The 13,682-nt window shown below is 42.4% G+C and overlaps 1 protein-coding gene and 1 long non-coding RNA gene across 4 annotated transcripts in view; one reads left to right on the top strand and one right to left on the bottom strand.

The window, feature by feature from the left end:
• The window catches only part of PAH (phenylalanine hydroxylase), a 121,553-nt gene that overhangs the window by 29,537 nt on the left and 78,334 nt on the right, over positions 1–13,682 (bottom strand). For all 3 annotated transcript variants that reach the window (NM_001354304.2, NM_000277.3, XM_017019370.2), the window contains 2 exons: positions 11,037–11,125; positions 171–238 (listed from right to left, as the gene is read on the bottom strand). In NM_001354304.2, coding sequence (NP_001341233.1) covers positions 171–238; positions 11,037–11,125 — 157 coding nt within the window. The remainder of the gene's footprint in view (positions 1–170; positions 239–11,036; positions 11,126–13,682) is intronic.
• The window catches only part of LOC124902999 (uncharacterized), a 40,575-nt gene that overhangs the window by 2,005 nt on the left and 24,888 nt on the right, over positions 1–13,682 (top strand). Inside the window, exon 2 of the long non-coding RNA XR_007063428.1 lies at positions 13,454–13,508. This is a non-coding gene — a long non-coding RNA (uncharacterized LOC124902999). The remainder of the gene's footprint in view (positions 1–13,453; positions 13,509–13,682) is intronic.

Consider the following 13,682-nt stretch of genomic DNA (forward strand, 5'->3'; position numbering starts at 1 on the left):
TTTAAACACACCCCCACACACACATACACGCATGCACATGAACACATGCACACACAGAAGGCAGGACTCTTCATGCTGGTATTTTCCATCCTCAACTGGATGAGGGCAAGGGAGAAGCAGGCTAGGGGTGTGTTTTTCTCTCTTCCCCTCAACAAGCAAGGCAGACTTACTGGCGGTAGTTGTAGGCAATGTCAGCAAACTGCTTCCGTCTTGCACGGTACACAGGATCTTTAAAACCCTAGGAGAAAAGAGACACCTGATTTTTCAAGGCTTCATAGGAAGAGGTCTGGTACCTTTATGAATGCTTTGAATGGGGGCTCTCAAGCCATGACAGTGCATGTCTCCTTCCCTTGGTTATACCCTAAAACTAAAGTCTCGGTTAAACTTAGCTCTCCTACCAGATATTGTGAGTGACACCTTATTAGTAACTTCTTTGATTTAGCATGAGCCTCCTTGCTGTGGATTCCAATGTGCATGATCTGTTCTTAAAGAAACCTCATCTACAGCATATCTGACTGACACACTTGCTAAACTAAGCAAAGTTCATAGGATGGATGTCTATGATGAAGATGTACAATATCCATTTAATTCCTGATTAAGGTTTGTGTCTAGCTCTACCTTTTAATTTCTTGATAGACGAGCAGGCACATGCTTATTGCTCTTGCAATTTTTAAAAATACCATTGATTAAATACATACTATGTGCCAGTTTGTGAGTACTAGGAACTGATTTTACATATAATTCTCACAACAAACTTGCGAGTTCGATGAGTATGATTATCCTGTTCTTTCCGGAATAAATGGTGGTTCAGAGAAGTGGATCCATAGTGACGGTGAGGCTGGGATTTGGATCACCATCAGTAATTGTCAGCCTTTACAATCTGGCAGGGGCCTAGCTAACTGAGAGTCTGTCTCAGGACCTAAAAAGGATGATAATGGAGTCTCCTCTGAAGCTGATTCACAGGCAGCCTTTTCCCAGTGATTTGTAAGCAGCACATTTCCGAGTGAAAGGAGGCTAAGTGTGTCTTTGAGTGTTTGGGGTGGAAATGGGATTCCAACTGATTGAAAGACAATTTTCCAAAAACAGTTGATTGCAGTCTAAATTTTGGTAAGACAAGAGACTGATATCATTTCCGTAGAACTCTGCTGTGGTTCTTCCAAGCCTTTCCCAGTAAGCCATGCCATCCACCACTTTAGCTCACAATTTCTCTGCTCCACTGTCCCTCCAAACCAAGGCAGTAGTGAATTCAAAACAAAAGCTTATGTCACAGAGTGTAATGTTTAAAGGAGACTTTTAAAAAGAGAAATATTCCCTGATTTTTAGATTTGTTTTTTGTTTTGGTTGCTTGATTGGTTGAATTTTTGTTTTGGGAGAGTTTTCTCTCTCTCTCTTTCTCTCTCTCTCTCTCTCCCCCTCTCTCTCTCTATGTATATACATATATAGATGTATATATACATGTATATACATATATAGATGTATATATACATGTATATACATATATAGATGTATATATACATGTATATACATATATAGATGTATATATACATGTATATATAGATGTATATTACATGTATATATGTATATACATATATACATATATACATGTATATACACCTATATATATGTATATATATACACATATATATACATATATGTGTGTGTGTATATATATATATATACACATATATATACATATATGTGTATATATATATATATATATATATATATACACATATATATACATATATGTGTATATATATATATATATATATATATATATCAGGGCCTACCAGTAATTGTAAAGACACAGAGGGCAATGTAATATAATGTAATTTGTTCTGAGAATCTGCGGCATTGATTCTGGCACACAGGAAAAAACTACAGACACTTGTTGGAAGAAAGGAAGGGAGGGAAGATAGGAGTTAATTAGTTTATTTCCGGGAATATATTTTGAAAAATAGAAACATCCAAATGTTTCACACTTGAAAAGTGAAGTAAAACTACTACACATTTTTTTTTACTCCAAATCTAAATCCCAGATAAATAATGTGATTACTCTGTTTAGAAAAGATTTTATGACACGGTTATTGCAAAGTATAACTCTTCCTTTCCCTAGAGCACTGAATGGTTTTTAATCGTTAATTACAGATTAGAAAGCTTAGGAATCTGAGTACTTAAAACTACTGTTGTGCCTCGTTTCTACTGGGTGAAGGTAAGTTGGTTTGAGATGATGTGGTTAAAAAAAAAAAATAAAACTGGGCACCATGATTTACTTTCCAAATATCAGTAACACACCATTTTAGAAACCTGTCTACTGGACTAAACAAAGAACATTTATTTGTCCATATCTCCATACTTGGGGCTCAAAATAAACATGTAATATTGGTCAGTCATTAAGGTTTGATTGTTACAGTCATTCTCACTTGCCATTCTTATTTAATAGTTAGTAGTGAATAGTTTTTCTCCAGGCCCTAAGGATAATATGTAGACTTTTGACCCTGTAAGGCACCTTGTAGAAAGGTCCATTTCTATATTTTGGTCTAGACTTGAAGAATATGAAGCCCATGGAGCCATTTGCCTAAAGGCCCAAAACTACAGAACTAGCACCTCCATTTGGATTTTGTGGTCCTCCCTAGGCTGGCAAGTTGAGATTTGAGCACTGAAGTAGGAATCCAGGAAGAAAAGAGAATTCCTTCAATCCGTGGATTTCCACTTCATCATGCTGCTTCTAGGAATGAGATATCCATGAACAGTTCTTACCCCCATTTGCCTTTATTGTTTATCTTTCATGTACCTTGCCTAGGTGGTTTAAAGATTTTCTACTTGTGAAAATAAAAGCTAATGTAATACTGTATACCCAGTTGATATTATCAATTATGTCAATTATGTCATATATCAATTATGTCAGAGGAAATATGTAAGTATATAAATAAAATGATTAAAGAAATACACCAAACTCTAACAAGTGTTACCTCCAGGTAGTGGGAAAAATAAGTAACACTAACAGTTGTATTCTTGAAAACTATTTATGCTTTTCAAGTTTTCTAATGTGAGAACGGGTTTCTTTTAGAATAAAAAAAAGAAAATAGTATTAAATATCCATCTCAAATCATTTTAGTGAAGTAGCAGGAGATTCACACATTGGTATACAGGAACACACACACAGATAATGCACTATACAGATCTTCCATGTGGGAAGGTTTCTAACCATGACCCTTTCCAGCTCCTGGTTTCTAAGTTCATTATCAGCCTGCAAGGGGCCCCAACCAACCAGGTTGCAGGGAGTTTTGCTTTCTCAGTTACCAGTGGTCAGAGAGCTCTGTGGCCTGACGCCCAGCCTCTTGGGGATCTGGCCTTGCATTCCTTGGGCTACCAGACGACCACAGGGCCTCTGTAGCCGTCCATGTGGAGTACATTCTGAATCAAATCACAGTTGGTGATGACTGATCACCCTGTCTCAATTTAGACTAATAGCAGCAATTTCAGTAGCACTGCATGTAATTTATTTATAATCACCCTGTCTCAATTAAACTAATAGCAGCAATTTTAGTTGCACTGCATGTAACCAAGTATGTTTTGACAGGAAAATATATTGTTGGTGAAGGAGTGGTGAGGGGGAGGGGAGGGGATAGAAGACGGGAGAAAGTCGAGAGAGTTCTACAGGATGCAAGTCATGACATCAACTGAAGTCTGCATGTATTGAGAGGTATAATTTGTGTGTGTGGGTGGGTTTAGGGGAGAGGGTAACTACATATATGGAAAAGTCTTGAGTATTCTTGTAGACTGAGATATTTATTCCATCATTTCCTAATATCATAGCTAAGGTTAAACCTCAGAAGTGCTCTCTTTAGGCTAGTGAGAACACAGGTTTTAAAGTCAGAAAAGCTGTGTTGGAATACTAATTCATTTATTCACAAGGAGCATGGCCTGGGAGTGGCCAGTTTATCTCTCAGAGCCTTAGTTTCCTCATCAGTAAAATAAGACTGTCAATCCTACCTGCTTCACAGTGTTGTACAGTTTAAGTCAGGTAATGTCGGCAGCACATTAAGCAAAATTCTGAGCACATTGTAGTTGCTCAAAGCATGATGCATTTGTGCAAAATGGCAGGAAATCCAAAGACAGAGAAGTCTGGCTCAGAATATAAAAAAGATGTACTCTGGAATGGGTCAGTGATCCCCACCAGCCACAAGGGGCTTTTAAACCAACATCTACAGAATTCTTACCTTGCTGTGTATATTTCAGCTAGGCCAATAACAAGAGGCTTTTTGCATTTTTCATAATGTTTCATGACAACTGGGGGAAGGATGGAACACAGAAGACAAAAGGTTCAAACTGGCATTTATTAAGTAGCTGCCATTCCCATCCTATAGACATTGGTCAAGGAGGACTTGCAAACAGTAGACTAGGGGAGCACCGACCATGCCCAATCCCTTTGCTCACCCTACAATTGGCCAAGAAGCCTATTCTGGAAAAATGTATGTACCTAGTTGCCCAAGCCCATAAGCCAGGAGTTATTGTTTTACTTCCCCCTTCTCTCTTCCTTCACATCCAGCAATCAATTTCTGCCCATTCTACCATTCAAACATCTGAGTCTGTCCTTCCTACTTCATTCTCACTGCTGCACCTGCATTCGACCACCACCATTTCTTGCCTGACTATTGTAGCTGCTGGGTAAGTGGCCTCTCACCCCCTCCACTTCATCCCAAATTATATTTATAAAGTGCAAGTCTGGTGAGGCCACTTGCCTCTTCAAAAGCCCTTCAAGGGCTTCTCATTGCTATTAGACTATTGTCCAAAATATTTAGCACAGTCCACAAGGCTTTACATGATCCAGCTCTGTCTATGTGTCCAGCCCTGTGCTGACTCACTCTGGCCTTCCTATGATGCTGCAGAGTGCACTGGTCTTGCTTTAATTCCTTAAACACACCATGCTCTTTCCCACATCAAGGCCTTCACACGTGTTCTACCCTCTGAGTGGGACCCTCTTCCCCACTCGTTTAGACCAATAAGTCACTATCTGTTCTTTCTGTCTTCCTGGATTTTTCCAAAGTTTATTGGTTTCTCTCAGTGTGTTGTATGTTTCTCGTTTCAGATGGTCTCACATATGTTAATAATGATTAAACTCAGGAAACTCTTTTACATATCACTGGATTTTCAGGGCATAGCACACTCAGCATATCCCCAAGTAGAAGCTGTTCAAAAATTATGCAAAACAGGCCAGGTGCAGTGGCTCATGCCTGTAATCCCAGCACTTTGGGAGTCCAAGGTGGGCAGATCGCCTGAGGTCAGGAGTTCAAGACCAGCCTGGCCCACATAGTGAAATCCTGTCTCTGCTAAAAATACAAAATTAGTCAGGCGTGGTGGCGCATGCCTGTAATCCCAGCTACTCGGGAGGCTGAGGCAGGAGAACTGCTTGAACCTGGGAGGCAGAGGTTGCAGTGAGCTGAGATCATGCCATTGCACTCCAGCCTGGGTGACAAGAGCAAAACTCTGCCTCAAAAAAAAAAAAAAAAAAAAAAAAAAAATATATATATATATATATATATATATATATATATATTTGCAAAACCTAGGGCAAAAAAATTACTGTGTGCCTTTTAAATGTCATATGAGATCATTGTCTCACAAGCTCACTCTGTGCTCTAAGGGGACATATATTTACTACTTATAAAGTTACAATCACTTCAAAGTAGATGCTGGCTTTTTAGAAGACCAATAAGTTGCAAAATATTCATTTTATTATCAAATTGTAAGTTGTTTCTGCCTAGTAGAAAGGTTAAGACACATAATTATGGCTTTATTGTCTTATGGAACATTAATCACTTGTGCATCCATCTTTGTGACCTTATTCTGGCTTTCTATTTTCCGATGACCACGTGTACTTTCGTCTCTTGTATCTTTTCTGCACTATCTTTGTCATCTTGCTGGTTCCCTCAATAGTGAGTTAAATGGATCTTTGACAGGTGTTCACTATATACCTGCATGACAGTTATGTTTTTAACTTTTCACAAATTATGCTTGGATAGAGCAATTTAGTAAGAATGCAACAAGTCTTTGATGACTCAACTAGCTGACTGACTCTTAGAAGGAACTCTGACAGGGCCTCAGGTGGAGAAAATTAGGTGGGCAAAAGGAAGAGAAAAGGAGAAAAGTATTGAAAAATATAGTCTTGTTATTGGGCAATTTGCTGAAGAAGAAATTTCCTACAGGAGAGCAGGAAAACTTGATGCCCACACCTTGAAAGGTTAAAAACAGTTTCAGGCCTGGTGTGGTGGCTCATGCCCATAATCCCAGCATTTTGGGAGGCTGAGGCGAGCGGATCACCTGAGATCAGGAGTTTGAGACCAGCTTGGCCAACATGACGAAACCCCATCTCTACTAAAAATACAAAAATTAGCTGGGTGTGGTGGCACACACCTGTAATCCCAGCTATGTGGGAGGCTGAGGCAGGAGAATCACTTGAACCCAGGAGGTGGAGGTTGCAGTGAGCTGAGATTGCACCATTGTACTCCAGCCTGGGCAGCAAGAGTGAAACTCCATTAAAAAAAACCATGTAGTTTCAAAGACTTGGGTCAAGAAGTAGAAATATCCACAGAAGGACAGTTGTGTTGGCTGATATTTTCTTCACTAAGAAGCCCCCTCTATTGTAGATCTGTAGCCTAGACTCCAGTGCAGCTGCCAGGTAAACTGGAATAGGTAGCTCTGGAGTTGGGGGTCTATGTGGCAGAGGTTGCTGGTGCTCCCCAAGATCTGTCCTCTCTCCTTTGTTCAGAGAACGTTGCTAAACTATTTTCCCCCATCTTCTTTGCAGTTAGTAGTGGGCACGTGACTGAGCTCTACTCAATGGAATTTGATTGAAGGGATGTGAGTCATCTCCAGACATGGCCCATGAAAACTTCCCAGAAGCAATTCTCACTCTCTCTTCTCCCATCCACTGGCAGAATGAGTGGGCTCCAAGGAGTTGAAGGAGGGTACAGCCATTGGTGGAAGGAGGCTTGGTTCTGAAAGACTTTGTGGAGCAGTTTCCTTACTGACCCACATTGGAAGTGAACTTTTATTGGGTTGGCCACGGAGATCTGGGGGTTTTTGCTGAGCAGTTAGCCTGCTCTGGTTGCTAGAGGGCTAGACTCAGATCTTCCTCTTTCTAGAAGTCCTCCCTAACCATTCCAGTACACAGTGACCTTAGAAATGATAGCACATGCTATCTGACTCATGAAACCTGGCATTTATGCACTTTTTTGAGTTATTATTATATAATTATATACTAGTTATTATCCCAACTGTATTCCATGGAAAACTACCACTCACGATAAGATAATGTTGCTAGGTATTTCATTAAAAAGAGTTCCGTGGGTAAGTAAGTTTTAGGAAACATTGCATTGACTGGGTTTCATTTTTGCAGGATTTTCCAAAGTTTCTAATGAGATAATGGAATTTGCATACTTAAAGTAGGGTTATAGAATACAGAGTTTCTCTCTTTGATCATGGGATATTTTTCATAAACTACAGTTTCGGAAACATGCATATGGCCCTTTCACTTGCATATATATATCTTGTGCCTCCCATGAGGTTATAAGTCATGAAGAAGTAAACTTATTGTGATCTGATACTCTGTACCCAAAGTATAAACACAATGTGATTGTTGCCATCTCTGAGATAGTAACAGTGTGAGAAACTTAAGTCTTGGAAGAGACAGGAGGAAGGCTTTAGGGAGGCAACATATATGATTTAGACCTTAGATGAATAGAGGTTTCCAAGTGGGGAAATAACAGGTGGGTTGGCAAGAAAAAACATGTCAGGTAAAGGGAACAACATGGACAGAAAGGGGAGTAAATTTTGGAAATGGAAATTAAATAGAACCAGTTGGATTCTGCCTGCCAAGTTTGCAGTTACTATTCCAGCTCCCTCCTGCACTGCTTTGAGAACAGTCAACACCCCTTCTCTCTCTACTGTACAACCACAGGCCCCTGGAGGGCAGGGATCATGTCATCTGTCACTTCAACCTCCTTTCTTTTATATGGCCTGAGACATAGTTCACACACAGATGATGTTACACGGCCCTCTCCCTCTGAGATTTCTTATCTGAAAATGAGATGTACAGCCCTCATACGGTGGTGATAATATTCAAATTAAAAAAGGAATGCCAAGCATTTAGCATTGTGCCTGGCACACAGCCCCTGCTCAAGAAGCATTAGCTCCTAATATCATTAGTTAACTAAAAGATTTTGGAAAAAAAGAAAGCAAGGTGGGAAAGGGGAAAGGAAAGGAAGGAGACTGGGAAAGAAGGGGAAAGGAGGCAAGATGGTCACCAGGAAATCTAGCTTCCCTATTTCATTTTCCCACTTAGCTAAAACTGAAAGGCAGAGGCCATTTTCCCTCTGTCTTGGAAACAGTCCTTCCTTTACTTCATTTTTCAAAGTGACTGCTTTGGAGGACCTGATGAGAGATATTGGGTCACACATCCATGCATACTGCCAAGGGCCGGGTTCAGGGACAAAGAGATCACACAGGATGCAACGGGACAGAGAGAACAGAGGGTCCTTTCGAGAAGAACACCCGCTGACTGCACCACTCCTTGTGCTGGTGTCTGTTTGCACTCACACACTGAGGCCAGGCCTGTGGGCCCCGGGGTCTCTGGGAAAGCACGCTGGAGGGTTTGTTTTGTCCTTGGCCCACGTCCCTGGGATCTGATGAGAAATGAAAGGAACAGAGAGAGCCTGGCGCCTCGTCTTCAGGGAACTGTGTACCTGATATGTTGTATTTTTACAATAAAATTCATAACATTGAGAGGGCAGGGAGTCAAAGATGTGGCTTTTAAAAACCAATGCATTCCAGAGAGTTTTAAAGCCAGTGCCAGCTGCTTTGGAGGGGACTTGAGGATACAGGGAGAAAAATGTCCATCTCTTTGCATTGGAGTCTTCCACTGTCCCAAATGAAAAGGGAGTGAAACGAATGGGAAGAATGCCGGTTTGGGGCAGGAAGACAGGAGTTTGGTAAGAGGAGAATAACGCCCTGCTGGGCAGACCCCTTGGATGGGTCAGAGGTGAACAGACAGCTTTTCTGAGAACCAGTATCTTTGGAGATGCTTTGCTGACAGAGTTGATGGCTAAGAGGCCCCAGACAGAGATCTGTTGAACGGGTACACAGAGCAGAATCCCACCTGGAGCAACCTTGGCGCCCCAGGGCTCCTGGGAGTAGGCTACATGGTATATAGGATGGAATGGGGGTCAAAAGTCCCCACATTTACCTTTACTTTTCGGGGAGAGAGAGTATTTAAGTAATATACACTAGGAGCTTTAAATTTAATTCCTATCCTCAGTTTAAATATAACTTAGTTTAATTTCACAACTAATATTCAAGGCAGCCATTGGAAGTTCACGTGAAAATACATAGGTGAGACTCAAACTTCCTACACGTTTGCAATTGGGTGCTGGTTAGTAAGTTGTGACAGTTAATACACACAAACACACACACACATATTTGTGTGCATATATATACACCATATATATATATACATATATATATAGACAGAGCGAGAAAGGAGGAAGGATGGAGGCACACCCAAATATTAATATTGATTTATTGATTATTTTAGAATAGTGTGATAATAGGTGATTTTTTTTTTTCTGTTTGGAAGTCTGGGAGATTGGAGGAAATTCACCTTTGTTTCTGTTGATATATGCTTTCTCATTATTTGAAAAATGCAGAACTGTCCAGAGAGAAAAATAGAAATAACTGAAATTATGGTTGCTTTTCATCTTCCTCCTCATGCCCCTCTGTGTTTTCAAGCCCACTATAATTGGTTTTACAATTTGAATTAGAAGAAGCATCAATCATTCATATTTCAAAAGGCCAGCTTGCCCCTGAAATAGCTTGCCTTTGGCCTCTGTAAAAGAGCCTGGATTTCTGCCACTAGCTAGGCCTTTGTCTTCAGGCACCATGAGCTCTCAGGACTCACAGTTTAGCACCGGGCCTTAGAAAAGTCATCAGGCTCCTCGGGCCTCACTAGTTCTGTAAGATGGAAGCATCTGCTTTGCCTCCTGAAAAGCGCCTTTGCGAACATTCTTTGCTGATTATAAAGACCCACATAAATGTGAGGAGAAAACAGACTCCTGTGGAAGTGTAAATGCTTCCTCTGCGTTCTGCTCAACCTTCACCGATGTAAATGGCTGCAAGTCATTTAAAGATGAAGGAGTCATTTGCCTGGCAGAGAATAAAGGGCAGGCAACAGGACGGTGGCCCTTCCCACCGATGGAGGCTGTGAGACCTGGCCCTGAGCCACCGCAGCCTGGGCTGTTCCTCCCCAGACCCTCTGCCCCAGAGTAGAGGGAACGATGAAATATCCCCCACCCCGGCCCTCTACTCAAAAACCATTAAAGGACCTGCCCCCATGGCTGCAAGACACAGGCCCAGTCCGTGTTCCTCTTTCTGGTCCATTAGCCCTTTTACAATCTGATCCCAACCCACTGCCCCAGCCACATCTCTCATTCTCATACTTAATGCACCAACCAGTCATTCCCACAGTATTGTGGATGCTTCCAAGACTCTCGGTATTCTCATACACTGTTCTTTCAGCCATAAGCCCTCTCCGTTCCTTATCTGACCCGCATCTCCTACTCAGTTTTTAAGATTCAGTTTCAACGTCGCCACTCCCCGCTGCCCCCTGCAGTTGGCAGAGTTGTTAGTACAGGTTGCTGTTTACCAAGCACTTGACTTAAACCTCCATAGATGTACACAGGCAGAAACAATGATGATTTGCATCTGTGTGTGTGTTTGTGCATACACAGACCTAGTATATAGAGACAATAGTTTCTGGACAGTGATTTATATTTGCTCCTACAAAAATAATGACCATGATAATGATGATGACAATAAAGTCTTGCTAATTTTTCCCAGCCCTCGTGTAAATAGGAACACAATAAGTGTTTGTTGAACAAGTGAACAAGTACATTGCTCCAAGTAGAGAAGGTAAGAGGAAGGGAGGGGAGTGGAGGAGAGGCACTGAAAAAATCTCATCCTACGGGCCATGGACTCACAGGGTGGTCAGCATCCAGTTCCGCTCCATAGCTGAGAATCTGATTGGCAAATCTGTCCAGCTCTTGAATGGTTCTTGGGAACCAGGGCACTGAAACACAGAGAAGGCAACGTCCTGAGTACAGATTGGCAGAACATGGCCAAAGGCCTTGCTGAGATCAGAAGTGGGGATCCCAGCCAATGGTGATGGCAAGTGGGCTGGCTTCCAGATAACCCCCAAATTACTATCGTTCAAAAGTTAAACTCCATTTTCCTTAGAAACCGGTTTTAAAACCCATTCCCAAATACATTCTCTTTCCTGGAGATGTTCTCTGAATTATCTCAAAACTCATCTCCCTCCCACCCGTCATGGTAGTTTTCTTTGATGGTTTTCTTTAGCAGCAGAATTTTTTTCCCTTCTGTCACCCAGGCTGGAGTACAGTTGCATGTGATCTTGGCTCACTGAAACCTCTGCCTCCTGGGTTCAAGTGACTCTCCTGCCTCAGCCTCCCGAGTAGCTGGGATTACAGGTGCACGCCATCATGCCTGCCCAATTTTTGTAGTTTAGGTAGAGGCAGAGTTCTACCATGTTGACCAGGCTGGTCTCAAACTTTTGACCTCAGGTGACCCACCCCCTTGGCCTCCCAAAGTGCTGGGATTACAGGCATGAGCCACTGCGTCCGGCCATTAGCAGCAGAATATTACATATAGGCCCAAAATATAAATTATATAAAACCAGACTGTTCTACTGTAAATGAGCTCATGAGAACCCATCTTCCCATTATGTGTTTCCCTCCCAAAGGCCCCAGGCACTGCAGCAAAATCTTTCGATCGCAAAGCCAGTTAGAAAGCCGTTGTTGAAGCAGAGTGAACAGAGTCAGATAGTTGGGATCTGAAGATGCCTTGCAGCACCTAAAGGATTTCAGACTTGCTTCTGAGCCAGTGTAGTGGGGAAGGGGTTGGGCTTGAGTGGGGTGGACTACAACACCTGGGTCTTGCAGAGAGAGGGGCCCAGGGAGAAGGGCAGGTGGCAGCACCGACATCCCTGTGGGTTACAGGAAACAAGATACATTGCAGGTGAAATTTTCCCAGGAATGAACAGAGACAAGGGCATTTTGGACCGTAAGTTTCATGAGGGCAGAAACCATGGGTACTTTGTTGTACCGGGCATAAAGAGAAAAAGAAGGAGGGAAGGAAGAGGGAAGAGAGGGAGGGAAGAAAAGGAAAGAAAGGAGGGAGAAAACAAGATAAGGAAGGAAGGAAGAAAGAAAAGGAGGGAAGAAAGAAGGGAAGTAATGGATTCACCCTGGTTGTGTTAACATTTAAGGTATTGACAGCAGTAACCACCATCCAGAGTGCCTGCTTTGGTACAGTTGCTATTTCTGACGTACCTTCAAAATAAGGAAGGCATGATAACCCCTCTTGCGCGGGTAAGAAACTGGGGCTCTAAAAGCTTAAATAGCTGATTTGAGATCACACCAGGAGTAAGAAAGTGGTAGATTCAAAAAGAATCCAGAGAGCCAAAATAGACGTGGTGGGAACCCTGAAGTGAGTGCAAGGCTTCCAGAACTTCCCCTGAAATGAGGTCGAGGGGAAGATGCTGAACTTCCAATCAGCATGCGGTCTGGCTTAGAATCCGGGTTCCATCTGCCTACTTATCCTCTCTGTGTCTCAGTTCCTCCTCCGGGAGGAGGAGGAATAAACAACTGGGATACACAACTATAGGAAGAACAGCAAACGTGTTTTTGAAGCCTTCCTACGTGCCAGGCACTTCTGGTGGAGCATTTCTGGTGGAGTAGCTACTTGAATCTGAGGATTGCTGTGGGCAGTGATGAGAAACAAGCAAAGGGCGCCGCTCAGCGTCTGGTACATAAAACGTGACTTTCAATCTGACACCCATGATTCATGATTCTGACCTGCTTAGATGGGGCAGGAAAGAGCATGTGTGCTATCTAGTGGCCAATCTGGGGAAATTCCCTCCGTGATCTAAACAGGAGCCTCAGGAGGAGCAGCAGCTGCATTCCAGCAAAACAAGGAGAGCTGATTCCAGCAGTTCATAAAGGTCCATTTAGACCCTTGTTTCTGCAGAGCTGAGGAACCTAGGCTCTCTACCACCCATGTTAGCAATAAAACTAACACTGAATGGTGTTCTAAATATTTTACCTGTGGGGGGGGGGTACTATTAATGTTCCCATTTTAAAGACGAGGACACTGAGGTACAGAGAGGTTTAGTGCAAACTCAAACACACACTGCTAAGAAACAGTGGAGTCAGGATTCAAATGCAGGTCCAGCTGACTCTCTGGCCTCTGGTCTTGATCGTCAATGCATCTTGCCAATCATGGGAAGGTGGCAGAGCATACTGATAAGGAGGGCTGACTGTGAAGCCAGATTTCCTGCCCAGAAGTTTCCATGCCCCTAAAGCACAGCCCTCTTTTCCAGATTGGCTCCCTATGGACAGCAAGAACAGAGGCAGATGCTGCAGCCATCACTCCAGGTAACACTTCTGTCGTACTTGCTGTGTGTTGGACACTGCCCTAAACATTTCACATATGCTACCCCCTTCAATTTCTGCAACAGTCCTTTGAGGTAGGTATTATTATTATCCCGTTTTACAGATGAAGAAACTGAGGAACAATGAGGGCAAGTCTCTTGATAGACCTCCTTGGTC

This window comes from Homo sapiens, chromosome 12, assembly GCF_000001405.40.
Source record: "Homo sapiens chromosome 12, GRCh38.p14 Primary Assembly".
Lineage (NCBI taxonomy): Eukaryota > Metazoa > Chordata > Mammalia > Primates > Hominidae > Homo > Homo sapiens.